The 14,192-nt window shown below is 38.0% G+C and overlaps 1 long non-coding RNA gene across 2 annotated transcripts in view; it reads left to right on the plus strand.

The window, feature by feature from the left end:
- The window catches only part of LOC105374971 (uncharacterized), a 241,097-nt gene that overhangs the window by 160,804 nt on the left and 66,101 nt on the right, over positions 1 to 14,192 (plus strand). The window contains exons 4-5 of one of the 2 annotated variants that reach the window (XR_001744024.2): positions 7,664 to 7,749; positions 7,919 to 8,097. This is a non-coding gene — a long non-coding RNA (uncharacterized LOC105374971). Of the gene's footprint in view, positions 1 to 7,663; positions 7,750 to 7,918; positions 8,098 to 14,192 lie in introns of those variants that run through there. The other variant, XR_001744025.1, reaches the window with a different exon arrangement.

Genomic DNA, 14,192 nt, shown 5'->3' on the forward strand with positions numbered 1-14,192 from the left:
ATATCCATTTTAAAAATCATGCATTGCTATTTAAGCAGGAACACCAAAAGAAAGTGGAAAACAAATCAACAAATGAAATAAGAAAGTAAACAAAATCGATGGGAAGAAAGGTTTGGAAGAAAGATGTAATGAAACACAATGTGAAATAACAGAAATTTGTAACCCTTATAAAGAGACATGCAGAGATACAATTAGGCATACTCTTCTTGGGAGGTAATGTGATAAGTCCCATATATACTTTCTTCCTCACTTAAATATTGCCTTATCTGTACGTATCAATCACCATGCTTTCTAGATACAGAGGGGATGATGTCTTTTTTCCATTTTGGGAAATTCCAATTGACTTCTTGTTTCAATCATGTCACCTTCCTTCTGTTTATGAATGACTCCAAAAACATTTATTCTCACATCTCCAGTGTATCTCCCAGAAATCGAACTTATGATATACATTTGTGCCCTGGAAGCTGTCATCTATACTGTTTTGCTTTTTTTGTACTACAAAATGTCTTCAATGAGCCTAATCCATCTGCTGCTTCAATTTCCTTGACATCTGGTCACTTTAAAATTCTGCCACTCTCATGAAACTTAATTCTTGCTCAAAGATAAGAATCCAAACAACCAATGCAGTGGCCTTTTAAAAGTCTTCCCTTTGTCTTTGCTCTTTAAATAATATAAATATCTCTCTTCTTGTTTAAGATCTCATCTAGGTTTTACAAAACCACACAATCCTAGTTCTCTACCTAACCACTCAGACCATTCTTTCTTTGCCTCCTTCAAAGATTTATTTCCTCATTCCACCCTGCCTTCCCATCTATATACAGTGAAATCAGTGGTGTCACCCTGCCTTCCCATCTATATACAGTGATATAGATGAACTCTCTATAGTTAAGTGGATATTAAGAAAGAAAAGTCATATTTCTCAAAAAGTTTTTTTTTTTTTTTTTTGAGACAAACTCTCGCTCTGTCTCCCAGGTTGGAGTGGAATGGCACGATCTCGGCTCACTGCAGCCTCCACCTCCTGGGTTCAAGTGATTCTCCTGCCTCAGCCTCCCGAGTAGCTAGGATTACAAGCACCCACCACCATGCCTGGCTAATTTTTGTATTTTAGTAGAGACGGGGTTTCACCATGTTGGCCAGGCCGGTCTCGAACTCCTGACCTCAGGTGATCCACCCGCCTCGGCCTCCCAAAGTGCTGGGATTACAGGTGTGAGCTACCATGCCCGGCCTTTCAAATTTTTATAATCAACTTCAAGGTAATGACTTGCAAGGACCCAAATTAACTCTAACTTTAATCTACCTGCAGAACACCTATCTACTCTGTACTTCCTCACCTAGATGTTTCCTGCCACTTAAAAGTAAACATGTCTGGAAACAAACGCCTCACCTTCCTCTCTAAGCATGATGGCATTTTTAACTTCAAGAGATTTAGAAGCTGTGCCTCAGTCTGAATCTGCCACTCTGGATCAATTGATTTAATCAGTTACCGAGAATAAACTGGATTTTTCTCTTCTATATCATTAAAAAATATTGACTCAATTTTTTAAATTATCATCATTTAATTCAGGTCTTTCTCTCCTCATATATGGAGTACTGAAATAACCATGTAACTGGGTGTCCCTGACTTCATTTTTTTCCCTCCAGGCAGTAATTCAACAGGAATCTTCATGTCAAACTGGTTTCCTAACATATATCACATCATTTGCAGTAGCATTTCAAAGTGCCACGCACCTCTCCTTATCTTGACATTTAGTCCCATCTACTGATCACTGTTGTTTTATCTTCTCCAGTTCATAGTATACTTTTGCCGTGGCTTGGGTGTTCCACTGACTGTGAACTGGACATGACTGATATCTCACTGCCCAATCCTTTGTTCCTGCTATTTTCTTTCTCTGGAGTCCCTCCCACATCCTCTCTGCCTATCTAAATACTTCAATTCAGGACCAGCATAATCAATTTTACCCTTCCTTCCTAAAATCTTTTCTGATCTTCTCAGCCCAAATAATTCTCTTCCTTTGCAGAGCTGCTCTAGTGCATACTGTTGTGTATTGTCTCTCTGTCTGCGTGCTGTCATGCCACAAGTAATACCTGGTATTTCGAATACCCTTCAATACCTGAAGGAGTGTTTTATCCCATAGTAGGGGCTTAATCAGAATATATGAACTGACTTTGCTGACCAGAAATTACTCATACAATTATATCTCCTCCTCTGTATATTTTCTCTTTTAAGACTTAATTTTTCATTCTCATCTGTTCTGCATTTTCCCAAAGTGTCATGTTCAGTTCTTGGCTGTTGGAAAGCAAATACCATTTTTCTTACATTTTTAAGTCAAAAGGGGCAAATTACTACCATTGAAGTCAGCTGACTGATTTTTCCAACAGCCAGATACCTGATATTTTTTTACTGACAAGAGCCATTTTGTGGCCCAACTGACCTAGCTTTAGATGACATACATCCTGGGTAGTTCAGGAAGTCTCAATATATGCCTGCCATTTTGGAGTAATTATAAATAGTATTTCCTTTCACTCTCAGAGCTGTCCTGGTTTTGACGATAAAGTATATGGTTACCTGATCTATACTACCTCTCATAAAAATGCATTTTTTCTAACAGAAATTAAAAAGAAACACTGTTATATTTTAATCATATGTCATGTAATAATCCCCCACTATAAAAGCCCAGGAGCATTTTTATTAATGAGCTGAATTTTGTGATTTGGATGGGAAATGTGTTTGCTCCGAGATGGCGTCACAAGGTTTGCATATACCATCTTAGATGATGTGCAATGAAGTGTGAGGACGGGCTGAGGTTTATGAATTTATAATAGGTGCCATGCTGGGAAGGGCTGAAGGCAGAGAGTTGTATCTGACTAAAAAAACCCTACAGAAACAGCTTTCAAAAAAGAAGGTACCAACTGACCTGCGCTTGACCTGATCCACTGCTAACTGAGAAAAAGCAGCAACTTCTAGATTCGACTGAGTTCAAACCAGAGTGGAGAGACTACAAATCAGTGAGCCAAGAGAGAAGATGGATGAAGTCAGGAACTTGTAGGAAGAAGGAAAGAACCATAGCTAGTGTGCTGGCCCTAACCTCAGGGAAAGGGTTTGGCTGCACTGGTTAAAAGAATCAAGAAACTCTTTATATATTTCCTCTGAGATATCATGGCTCTTAAAAAAAAATTCTTGGCAGTGTTCCACTTGTACTACAGAAATCTGTTCAATGTGGACTCTCGGATTTCAGCGGGGGATTTGCCGTCAAATGTTTCGGTTCTGATTCATGGCAAATTTTCACATCATTTGTAGGAAACTTTCAGATTAACTCAGAGAACATACATATACAGGCAGCTGAAAAGGCATGTTTCCAAATTTTAAAAGGAAAAGGAATCATTTTGTAAATGCCTTCTATTAATTATATCTATATCTACAGAAATAGCCCAAGTACTATTGCATTCTTGAAGAGTCTTCAGTCCCTTTTATTTGGAATACAATTTATATGTAATGGTTTATTTCATTTGTGAAAAAATATGCAGCTCCACTTTATAAAATCCAGTAGATACTTTATGATGATTTTCAGAAATTGACCTCCTTAGTACTGTATTTGCTTTATCTAAAAGCATGCTCCAAATGAACCGTTGCTCCATTTCAACCTTCATTTAGTATTCCTCTTGGCGTGTTCTGACAGACAAGCTGCTCTTGCAATCCAACTTCTGCCTTTGAAAGTTGTCAGTTCTGGTCTGGAATATCATGACTGAAGGTTCATTTGTCTTGTCAGAGTTCAAAAGGGCACCTGAGTTTTATCCCCTGCCCGCCCTCCCTTCTTTCCCTGCCTTTCAAAACAATTCTGCAGCGCCACTTGGATTTCGGCCTCGCCTCCTGGACGTGCACATGCTGGCGGAGCGAGGCTCCTTCTGCTCACCTTCCTACTGGAAGGAGCCAGGCTAGAAGGAACGGGAAAATGAAACTTGATGGTATTAATTTTTAAACTCCCAAACCAGTTGCTGTACCTGTCACTTTAGGCTTCTGAATTTCATTAGTGTTGACAGAGATGAACAGCACGTTCTAATTGAGGGCTTGCACCTGCAGCTTGACAGCAGTGGCTTCTTTATTGGCCCTGGGATAAGGCCCCATTCCCCAGGTCTGGTGTTCTGAGAGGTAGCAATCATTTTCTCAGAATGTGCAGTTGGAAGAAGGCAATTGAACTGCAAGCTAGTAGCCAAAGAGAAAAATCTCTCCTTCTTTCTCTATCCTCATCTTCCTTACTCACTCTTCTGCAAACCCTTACCCCTAGTGCTTTGAAATAGTCCCCTCCTTGTAAGCTCCATGTGCTATAAACAGAAGAGAAGAGAGTGGATAAGAATGGAGAAAGAAAAATAAAGAGAGAAAAAAAATTATGATAGGAGAGAAAGACTAAGAGCACAAATATTTGAGCTCATTTAAATAAAATCTCACAATTTTAAAATTATGGCTCCAGATCATTTGTCTGCTCACATATTACTGCCTTTCAGTTCACCCAGTTGTTAAAAAGCAATAGCTTTTTGTCAACAACATGTTCATATGTATAGTTGTATAAATACAAAATTCACTCATACCAATGAATCTGCCTGAGTTATCTCTTATGATTTTGTTTAATTAAAACTATTCTCCAGTGAGTTCAAGAGTATTCACGTGATTATATCTCTAACATTCTTTATAAGTATAAACCCATACATACTTAGCACTGTCGTATGAAATACACACATATGCAAATGGCACACTTGGTACATAATGGGCATTCAATACCACCCACTTACTCTCTATAATAAGTGGAATTGTCTTTACAATACATGAGTGAAAATAAAAGTTAGTTTCATATATACATATGAAACTGTATATATATATATAATATCCTAATATGTTTTACTTGAAAACCTACAACATTTTAAAACATAATTATTTAGTATCTGCATTAATAAATGAAATTATTTGGCTTCTTAAAATAAGCTATTCTGTAGCCATTTGGGGAGGCAATAGCAATTAAGAATGTTTGAATCAAACAGATCAGGCTTTCAGATTTCTGCAACTTATTATATATGTGATGTTGGTCAAGTAATTTAACCTTCAAGTCAATTAAAAAATAAGGATAATTCTGTAGAAAAATGGGCAGATGTTTTGAATAGGCACATCACAAACAGAGCTATACAAATGGCCTATAACCATCAGGAAAATACAAAGCATTTTGGAGAACATTTTTCTAATATCTAATGAAGTTAGGCATATTTACATATTCCGACAATTCTAATTCTAAGTGTATGTCCTAGAAAAATGCAGGCATATTTACACCAGATGATAGGAATGACAAAGTTTGTAGGAGCAGTTTTCAAAACACTTATTAAGTGGAAACAATTCTAATATCATCAGTAGGAAAATGAGTAAGTAATTAATTAATGAAAATGACTGAACTGCAATTATAAACAACAGCACAATGGATTTTTATCAATGTAAGGTTTAGCCCAAAAAGCAAGACATAAAGAAAAAAAACTGTATGATTACAAAAAGCCCTTATCTGCATTGGATAAGTAGGAATATTTAAGTTGTAAAGCCATAAAATAATTCGTTAAAAAAAGTCAAGATAATGGGTATCTTGTTGTGTGTTTTTTTGTTTTTGTTTTTGTTTTTTTTGATAGATAGTCTCACTCTGTCACCCAGGCTGGAGTGCAGTGGTGTGATCTTGACTCACTGCAACCTCCACCTCCTGGGTTCAAGTGATTCTCCTGCCACAGCCTCCTGAGTAACTGGGATTACAGGTGCATACCATCAGACCCTGCTGATAATGGTTATCTTTAAAGAGGAAGTTAGGGATTGGATTCAGAAGGAAGGAGCTTCTGGGTAATAGTCTGTTTCTTGACCTAGATGGTGGTTGCCTTTACATTTATATCTTAAACACTTTTTCTTATATGTATTGTATTTTTATTGTAATAAAAATGACTCTTTAAAAAGCAATACTTTTAGCTTTCTGTAGCTACTTCTACTAAATCTCCCAAGAAATAAATTCACAGGATCATAAGCAAAACTATTTGGATTTCTGGAATCTAATCTGAGACATTTCCCATTTTTAACCCCATTTTCTGAGTTACATTTATATCCCATGTCTTTCTGTCAGTGTTCTTAATTTAAAATCTGGGGTCTTGAGTCAGAATTCAGAAATGATTATTTTAGTCTATTGTGTTTGCAAAAGAAACACATCCTTTAAGAAAAAAACGTCCCTTTTTTGGTAGTGTGAGCTTCTGTAAGATTTAAGTACATGATTCCTGTCCTTGGTTGGGTTGCTCACATTCTTTGTCATGTCTCCTGGGTGGTATTTTCCACATTTGTTCTACGTCCCTGGGTGAAAGTCAGCCATCTTCCATGGACATTGTACAGAATTTCCAAGGATACACCATCAGTTTTACCATATGTCCCATACCCCACCTTGTGCACCCTGAAGGATGAAGCACTGGGCTACTGTAGAATAATTTTCTGGACGCTAGACCAATTTGTAGTATATATGTAGGAAGCCTTAAGAAAGTATTGTATTCCCTGAATGCTAGGGGCTTGGGAGGAAGGGACAGAGTAGTGGGTGTCAGGTCAATCTCTACCTGCTTTTTTTTTTTTTTGGACGAAGTCTCACTCTTGTCCCCCAGGCTGGAGTGCAATGGCACGATCTCAGCTCACTGCATCCTCTGCCTCCTGGGTTCAAGTAATTTTCCTGCCTCAGCCTCCGAGTAGCTGGGATTACAGGTGCCTGCTACCACGCCCGGCTAATTTTTGTATTTTTAGTAGAGATGGGGTTTCACCATATTGGCCAGGCTGGTCTTGAATTCCTGCCTCGGCCTCCTGAAGTGCTGGGATTACAGACATGAGCCACCGCGCCCGGCCTCTCCTGCTATTTTATAGCTCCTTACCCTAGTAGCATCCTGCACTGACTATATGTTATCATTCTTCAGGATACCTTGATGTGGGCTTTCAATGAAGTCCTAAGTGAAGTCCTAAGGCAATCGTGTAAGGAAAGGGAAGAGCAAAATTTAAGCCATCTTTTAAAAATTTATCTTCTCAAGTAGCCACCAACTACCTTCTCTCCTTGGCTGCAACAGCAGAATAGCCTTCAGTTTTCCCAAGGTTTTCTTTCTTGGTATGTTTCCATTCTTGTTATTTCTTGTATTACATGTTTCGTCTGTATTTTTTCAAGGACTTTTTTTTTTTTTGAGATACCCAGTGTAGTGAGATGGAGACTCTGAATCAGTGCCTGCTTGGGTGTTTATGAGCTTGACAAGTAGATGCTAAAATATACCCATATCCTGGAAACTGATAGAATTTATCACATGACAAGTCTATAGTAGAAAATAAATGTAAATCTAGCCTGGATCTGAAGATAAGACAACCAGGGAGAACCAAAGCTAAGAAAATCAGGTCCCCCAGACCCCCAAAATACAAAAAGTAGAAAGGGCAAATTTGTGTGGATGAAATAATTCATACAAGTTGAGGCTGTATATTATTAGCACTTCATCCAAGTTTAAAGATACTTAGAATATCTGTTGATTATTAGCACAGCATAGCTACTCATTGAATTCAGTTACACAACCTTGATGAATAGTTATGGAGTACTTCCCATCCTTAATATTATTAAGCACCTATTATTGCTTACTCTTTTAGGCTAATGGAAGCACGACAGTGAGCAAGACAGACAAGGTCACTACCCGCAAGGAGCTGTTGATGGAGAATAACATGCAAAGAAGAAGGTAGGATGCAGACTTATGTGCTCCCATTTCAAGTTGATTTGACCCAGAGCATAGGTGAAGGATTTGATCTTGTATGGGGACAGGAAATCTTTTTCCACTGTGGAATATAACAAAGAATAACGGATTAGTGGTGGAAAGCAAGGGAAATTATCACCTGATTTTTTTCTAGGTAAGAAACTGACCAGATTGCTTACTGTGAGTGGGAAGGTGGTGAAAAAGTTACAGGTGGAGAGTGCTGAAAAGAGCAAAGAACACAGTAAGAGACGTGAGTATGGAAACATGGAGGTAGTAACAGACACCATTAGGAGAACAGCAGGGGTTGAAGATCATGAATTTACAGTAAATCAATATGAATAATTTTGTGATATTTTTAGCCACTTGCAACCACTCAGAGTAGATTTATTCAGTATTGAGGTTGCTGAGTGGGTCTGAATGAAAGACTATTAAGGAAAAGGAAATACTGGGAAGATGGTTCATTGGATTGTTGAAAAATTGTGTTGACTTCATATTGAAACCTCTTGTTAAATACATCTAAATCTCCAATCTGATATCCTCAAGATTAAAGAACAACTCTGTCCAACAGTTGCTGGAGCAACTATCCACTAGTTGAATGATATTAATTTTGCTGTGTAAAAATAGCTTCAGTTTAAACATTTTAAGAAAGTTATGGGCAAAATAAATGCCTCAGAGGATTTGTGATGGTATAGTTTTTGGTTTCGTGGTCTACAGAAATATTTAAAAGAGCTACAAAATTAGGTAATTTAAGAAGCACTTACTACACAAAATTTGGTATTTTTAGTGGTGACCTTCTTGAAAATTTGTAAAAGTTTAGGTTGAATGATGACTTAAGCATCACTTCATGAACTCATAATGAAATACTTACCTAAATGCTTAAAGAGCCAGAAAAAAAGGTTCACATAATCTGTGGCTAAAAATGTTTAGCCAATCATCTCACCTCAGTAATCATATTTTATGATCAAAGCAAAGACAAAAAGTAAAAATAATGTCTGGTTTCTAGGTTCTTAGCTTTTGCTTTTTCCTAGTAAGGAGAAAACATGCTACAGTTGATGTCCCTTCAAATTAAAATTAATCACATGAGAACTAAACAGCTACTTCAGATGATTACAGACTGAATCTAGCAAAACAATATCAGCCTTGGTGACAATGAAGAGTAAAGGTGTTTTATTGTTCACTGATGTCAGGAAAAAACTTCTCAAGTTGAGAGGGCACACCTTGAGAACACTAGTACAGCAATATCACTTGGTGTTTTGAAGTCTCAGAGAAATGGTCACTCTGATTCTGAATTTCTAAGCATGGGTATCAGCAGACTTATTTTATTTTATTTTTTAGCATGGCAGCTTTCAGAAAGGAGAGTTGCAAGCTGATCAAAGCCAAAACATGTGCTTTAAAATTGATACTGTGCAATCACCAACTAGCTAGGCAATCTCAAAAATGGCTTCACTTTTCTTAGCGTCAGTTTCTTCAACTGTAAATCAAAGAAGTGCTACTCAATAATTTCTAAAAGTCCTTTCAGTTCAAATAGCATGTGCCTTTTAAAGATAGTGTTTTGTGGATTGTACATATTATCTCTCAACAGTGACTAGTCCAGCTTTTCAATGAAAGGAGAGTGAATTATTCTGATAGTATCTTAAGGGGGCGATCTAACAGGTTGGTGGAATGGGAAAAATACATGCCTACAAAGCACAAAACTTAGGTTTGGGTCTGGTAATTCCATCAAATGTTGTTGACAGCAATTTCCACATTGGTAACATGGGAATTGTCATATACCCTTCCTCTTGCAGGATCAAGATGCAGCAATATATATGAAAGAACTCTAATAAAATAACACAATACAACCAGGAAAGACTATCAAAATATGAATGATTTGTTCTCTGTGCAAGTTTAAGCACATGTCATCATTAAGCTCTAGAAGGCTAGGGACTGTGTATTAGCACTGGGGTTTGGAGTACAGGATTTATATGCCCACCAGAAAAACTGGATTATGTGTAGTAGAACTGTTAGGTTAATTCTTCTCAAATTAATCTTTTAGTAAAAGTAATCCTAGCTAATATCCCTGAAAGTTTATTTGGGTTATCTTATAGGTTGAGACTAAAATTTATTGGGATAAGAAAACAGGCAAGAACAACCAAGTTGATTTTGAAAAATAGCAAGTGATAAAGGCAATGGAAGTGGTGGGGGTTGGGAGAGGTTTGACCTATGTAATAACAAAACAGAATGGACATGAGAACTCTGTCACTTGGCATAAAGATCATTTGGCAAAAAGATGGTTAATACTGAATAGAGAATCTATTGAGTTTGCTAATTAAGAATATTAAATTCATTAGAAAAACATGAAATATTCTACAGCATTGTGGCAATCTGCTGTTCTTTAGAATCCTTAAGCTGACGTTTATAGAATTACCAGTGTAAAAGAACAAAACTCTAAAAATTGCAGAAGAAAATACAGGCAAATATGCTTGCCAATCTGGGCTTATCAAGATAGAAAATGCAAAAGCTATAAAGGAAAATAATATTGAAAATAAAGTGTTAAATAAGAAACTCTAATAAACCATCTTTAAACCAAGTTAAAAGATGATTTTCAGACTAAAAAAATTTGCATAAAAAGGATTAAGATTTGGAATAAAGAAGCACTGTATGAACACATTAAAAATCCAGAAAAAGATGAAAGGGAAGGGAAAGGAGGACAGGGGAAGGGAGGGGAGGAGGAAGAGAGAAGGGAGAAGGGGGAAGGGGGAAGAAAGGGAAGGGTAGAAAGAAGGAAAGAGGGAAGGAAGGAAGGAAGGAAGGAAGGAAGGAAAGAGTAACCTGAAGTTACTGATATTTATTGATAGCATTCTTGAACCCCTAATATGAGAATAAAGCCAATCTATGCTCTCTAAGGCCTTTTGGATATCAGATAAACATGAGTGGATTAGGGTTGTGGCAATTTTATTCGTGTCTCTAGGTTTAGCTGGAACTAAAAAAAATTGTGAGAGACAGAAAGAAAAGAAAGCCTGCAACAACTGCCATACATGTTTTCAAATTCTTTTCACATTTGACTTTGTGATTTTTTTATTCTTGGGAATGCAAAGGCAGATAAAATAAAATCAAACCAAACAAAAGATTTCCAATGATGCGGTTTGGCTTAATTAAGCCTTCGAACACATTCAGGCTTCCTGTTCAGACTATGTGAATATTAAAAGTACAATCTATGTCAAGGTAGACTCAGTTCCTATCTACTATTTTTATACTTTTGAAGCTGTATTTTATAGGTGTTTGTGTGATAACAGCACCTTTACTCATACTTTATGCTTACCAAAGAACGGTTAATAGATTTTATAGAGTTTGGCCAAGGTCTAAATTTAGACAGAGGGCTCGTGGTGGTCTTGCGTACCCAGGTATGTTTTGCTTTAAACATAATTAGATTTCATTGTGTGCCCAATAAACATTTTATTGAGAATGTGTCACAATGTCCATGGCCATATAGCTATCCTAACAGCCAAAGCACTTGTTGACCTTCAATTCTTTCAGTCATATTAGTAGTGTGAAACTGATTGTTTGGAAACTGGAAGGGACAGTCTGCTTAAGGCTGAGCAAAATTAGCCTGGAGGTAGCCTTGACTCTCTCAGCCTAGGAGGCAATACGCACTTTCTCCTGGGGGGCAAAACACACTTTCCCCTGCCCAGAGAGCAGTGGTGAGGCAGGATGTCAGTTGCAATATTGTTCTACCCATCAACTCTGCATCTGTTCCTGCATCTCTACATAATCCATCTCTACATAATCCAAACTTTCCCACTTTTCAAGACCTAGCTCAATGTCCACATGTTTCTAAAAACTTTTCTCATCTCTTGATGCTTTTTCATTTTTCATATCTGTAGAATATCCTTGATAGCTCTCTGAGACATTTATCATCATCCATCTTATCTTTGGAGATGTCTCATTTCAAAAGTAGATTCTTGGCCAGGCACAGTGGCTCATGCCTGTAATCCCAACACTTTGGGAGGCTGAGGTGGGTGGATCATGAGGTCAAGAGATTGAGACCATCCTGGCCAACATGGTGAAACCCCGTCTCTACTAAAAATACAAAAATTAACTGGGCGTGGTGACGCACGCCTGTAGTCCCAGCTACTCAGGAGGCTGAGGCAGGAGAATCGCTTGAACCCAGTAGGCGGAGGTGTCAGTCAGCTGAGATCATGCCACTGCACTCCAGCCTGGCGATAGAGTGAGACTCCATCTCTAAATAAATAAATAAATAAGTGTAGATTCTTAAAAACAAATCTTGTTAAAACATTAAATGAAGACAATAACAACTTTGAGGCTTTCTCTTTATATTTTATTTGATTGTGAAACATTCTGCTTGCTAAAATGGTGGCTTAGAACTTGATAGACAGTACAAATCAGTGAAGAGGAATTCTCTGAGTCAAGATGCCACATGACACTTGAGTGTCACATTATGGGAATCTGGCTTGAGCAGGTCCACTCCTTATTGGGGCAAATCCAGACCTTTAATATGAAGACCATGGAAAATTAGGGGTCCATAGCACCCCTCTGTGTAGGAACAGAACCTTGTTCTATTGGAGACATTGCTTCCAGTGAAAACACTATATACCTCTTTTTCCCTTTGCAGCCCTGTGTAGGCCTGTGACTGTGTTTTGTTTAAGAGATATAAGTGGGAAGTTCCTTTATGAACCATCCCTAAAGTGTGCCTCTTTTGCCTTATCTTCCATATTGCTGTTTGGCATAAGAATGTGAAGGCTGGACTTTAAACAGCCACTGTCAGCCATTAGGAGAGATCCAAACTACAGTGACTTTAGGAGGTGGAAGCAGTTCAAGTCTGTACAGAATATGTTGTCTTTGGGCTTCTTTTAAGGAGAGAAAGAGAAACAACCAGCAACTTCTATCAACCTGGCAAATGGTAGTTACTACAACTTGTCCATTGTTAACTTATGGTTTGGTCACATGCTCATGAACTTACTCCTAACTGATATGTTCTAGAGAGCTTGGTTTACCTCTGCTAGCCTAAGAGTGGTGAACTTAGTTCATTCAGAAACAGCAAGAAAATGGCATTTAACAGAGCCCCCGAGTTCACTGTGTGTATTCTGAAAAGACTATGAATAGACCAGACTCTGAAACAAAGCTCAGAAACATCATGAGCTGAGAACAAGACTCCAAGCCTGACTCTCTGCTTTAGCCTCCACCCATGCCTGTTGCCACTGCCATGCTCTGGTTTGAGGTCACATTACTTCTCAGCTGGAAGATTGGGAATGTTTCTTTTCCAGTTTTACCCTGTTCGGTTCTCCCTGATACATGCTACAAATAGAGTCATCATTTCACAGTGTAACTTTGAATATCTGCTGTTTGCTAAAAATGCAACTTTTTTCCTATTGCTATCTGATATTTTTCAAGCAGCTTACCTGACAAGGTAATGCATGCTTTTGAATCAATTCTTCTTCTAGTACTGCTTCTGTCTACTCTTCCTTGTGTAACCTGTGCTTAAGCAAAATTTACAACTTACAGTTTCTAGTATGAGCCCAGCAGTGATTGACCTCTTGCACACAGTCTTGTCTAGACTATTACTGATACTTGAAATGCTTTTCTGCGCCATCTTAAATGGTCTTACTCTACCCCTTCTTCAAGATTCAGCTCAAATGCTCTCATCTTTGATATCTTCTTTTATAACAATGGCAGCTCTTAAACTTCCAATTCTACTAATAAAAATAAAGAACAGGTGTTGCAGGAAGTCAGGGACCCCAAAAGGAGGGACCGGCTGAAGCCATGGCAGAAGAACGTGAATTGTGATGATTTCATGGACATTTATTAGTTCCCCAAATTAATACTTTTATAATTTCTTATGCCTGTCTTTACTGCAGTCTGTAAACATAAATTGTAAAGATTTCATGGACACTTATCACTTTCCCAATCAATACCCTTGTGATTTCCTATGCCTGTCTTTACTTTAATCTCTTAATCCTGTCAGCTGAGGAGGTTGTATGTCGCCTCAGGACCCTGTAATAATTGCATTAACTGCACAAATTGTACAACATGTGTGTTTGAGCAATATGAAATCAGGGCACCTTGAAAAAAGAACAGGATAACAGCAATTGTTCATGGAATAAGAGAGATAACCTTAAACTCTGACCCCTGGTGAGCTGGGCGGAACAGAGCCATATTTCTCTCCTTTCAAAAGCAAATGGAAGAAATATCACTGAATTCTTTTTCTCAGCAAGGAACATCCCTGGGAAAGAGAATACGTGCCTGGAGGTATAGGCCTATAAACAGCCTCCCTAGGTGTGTCTGTCTCTTATGGTCAAGGCTGTAGGGGTGAAATAGACCCCAGTGCTCCCAGGCTTGTTAGGAAGAGGAAATTCCTGCCTAATAATTTTGGTCAGACCGGTTGCTCTCAAAACCCTGTCTCCTGTTAAGATGTTATCAGTGACAATGGT

The sequence above is a fragment of the Homo sapiens genome, chromosome 6 (assembly GCF_000001405.40).
Source record: "Homo sapiens chromosome 6, GRCh38.p14 Primary Assembly".
Classification (NCBI taxonomy): domain Eukaryota; kingdom Metazoa; phylum Chordata; class Mammalia; order Primates; family Hominidae; genus Homo; species Homo sapiens.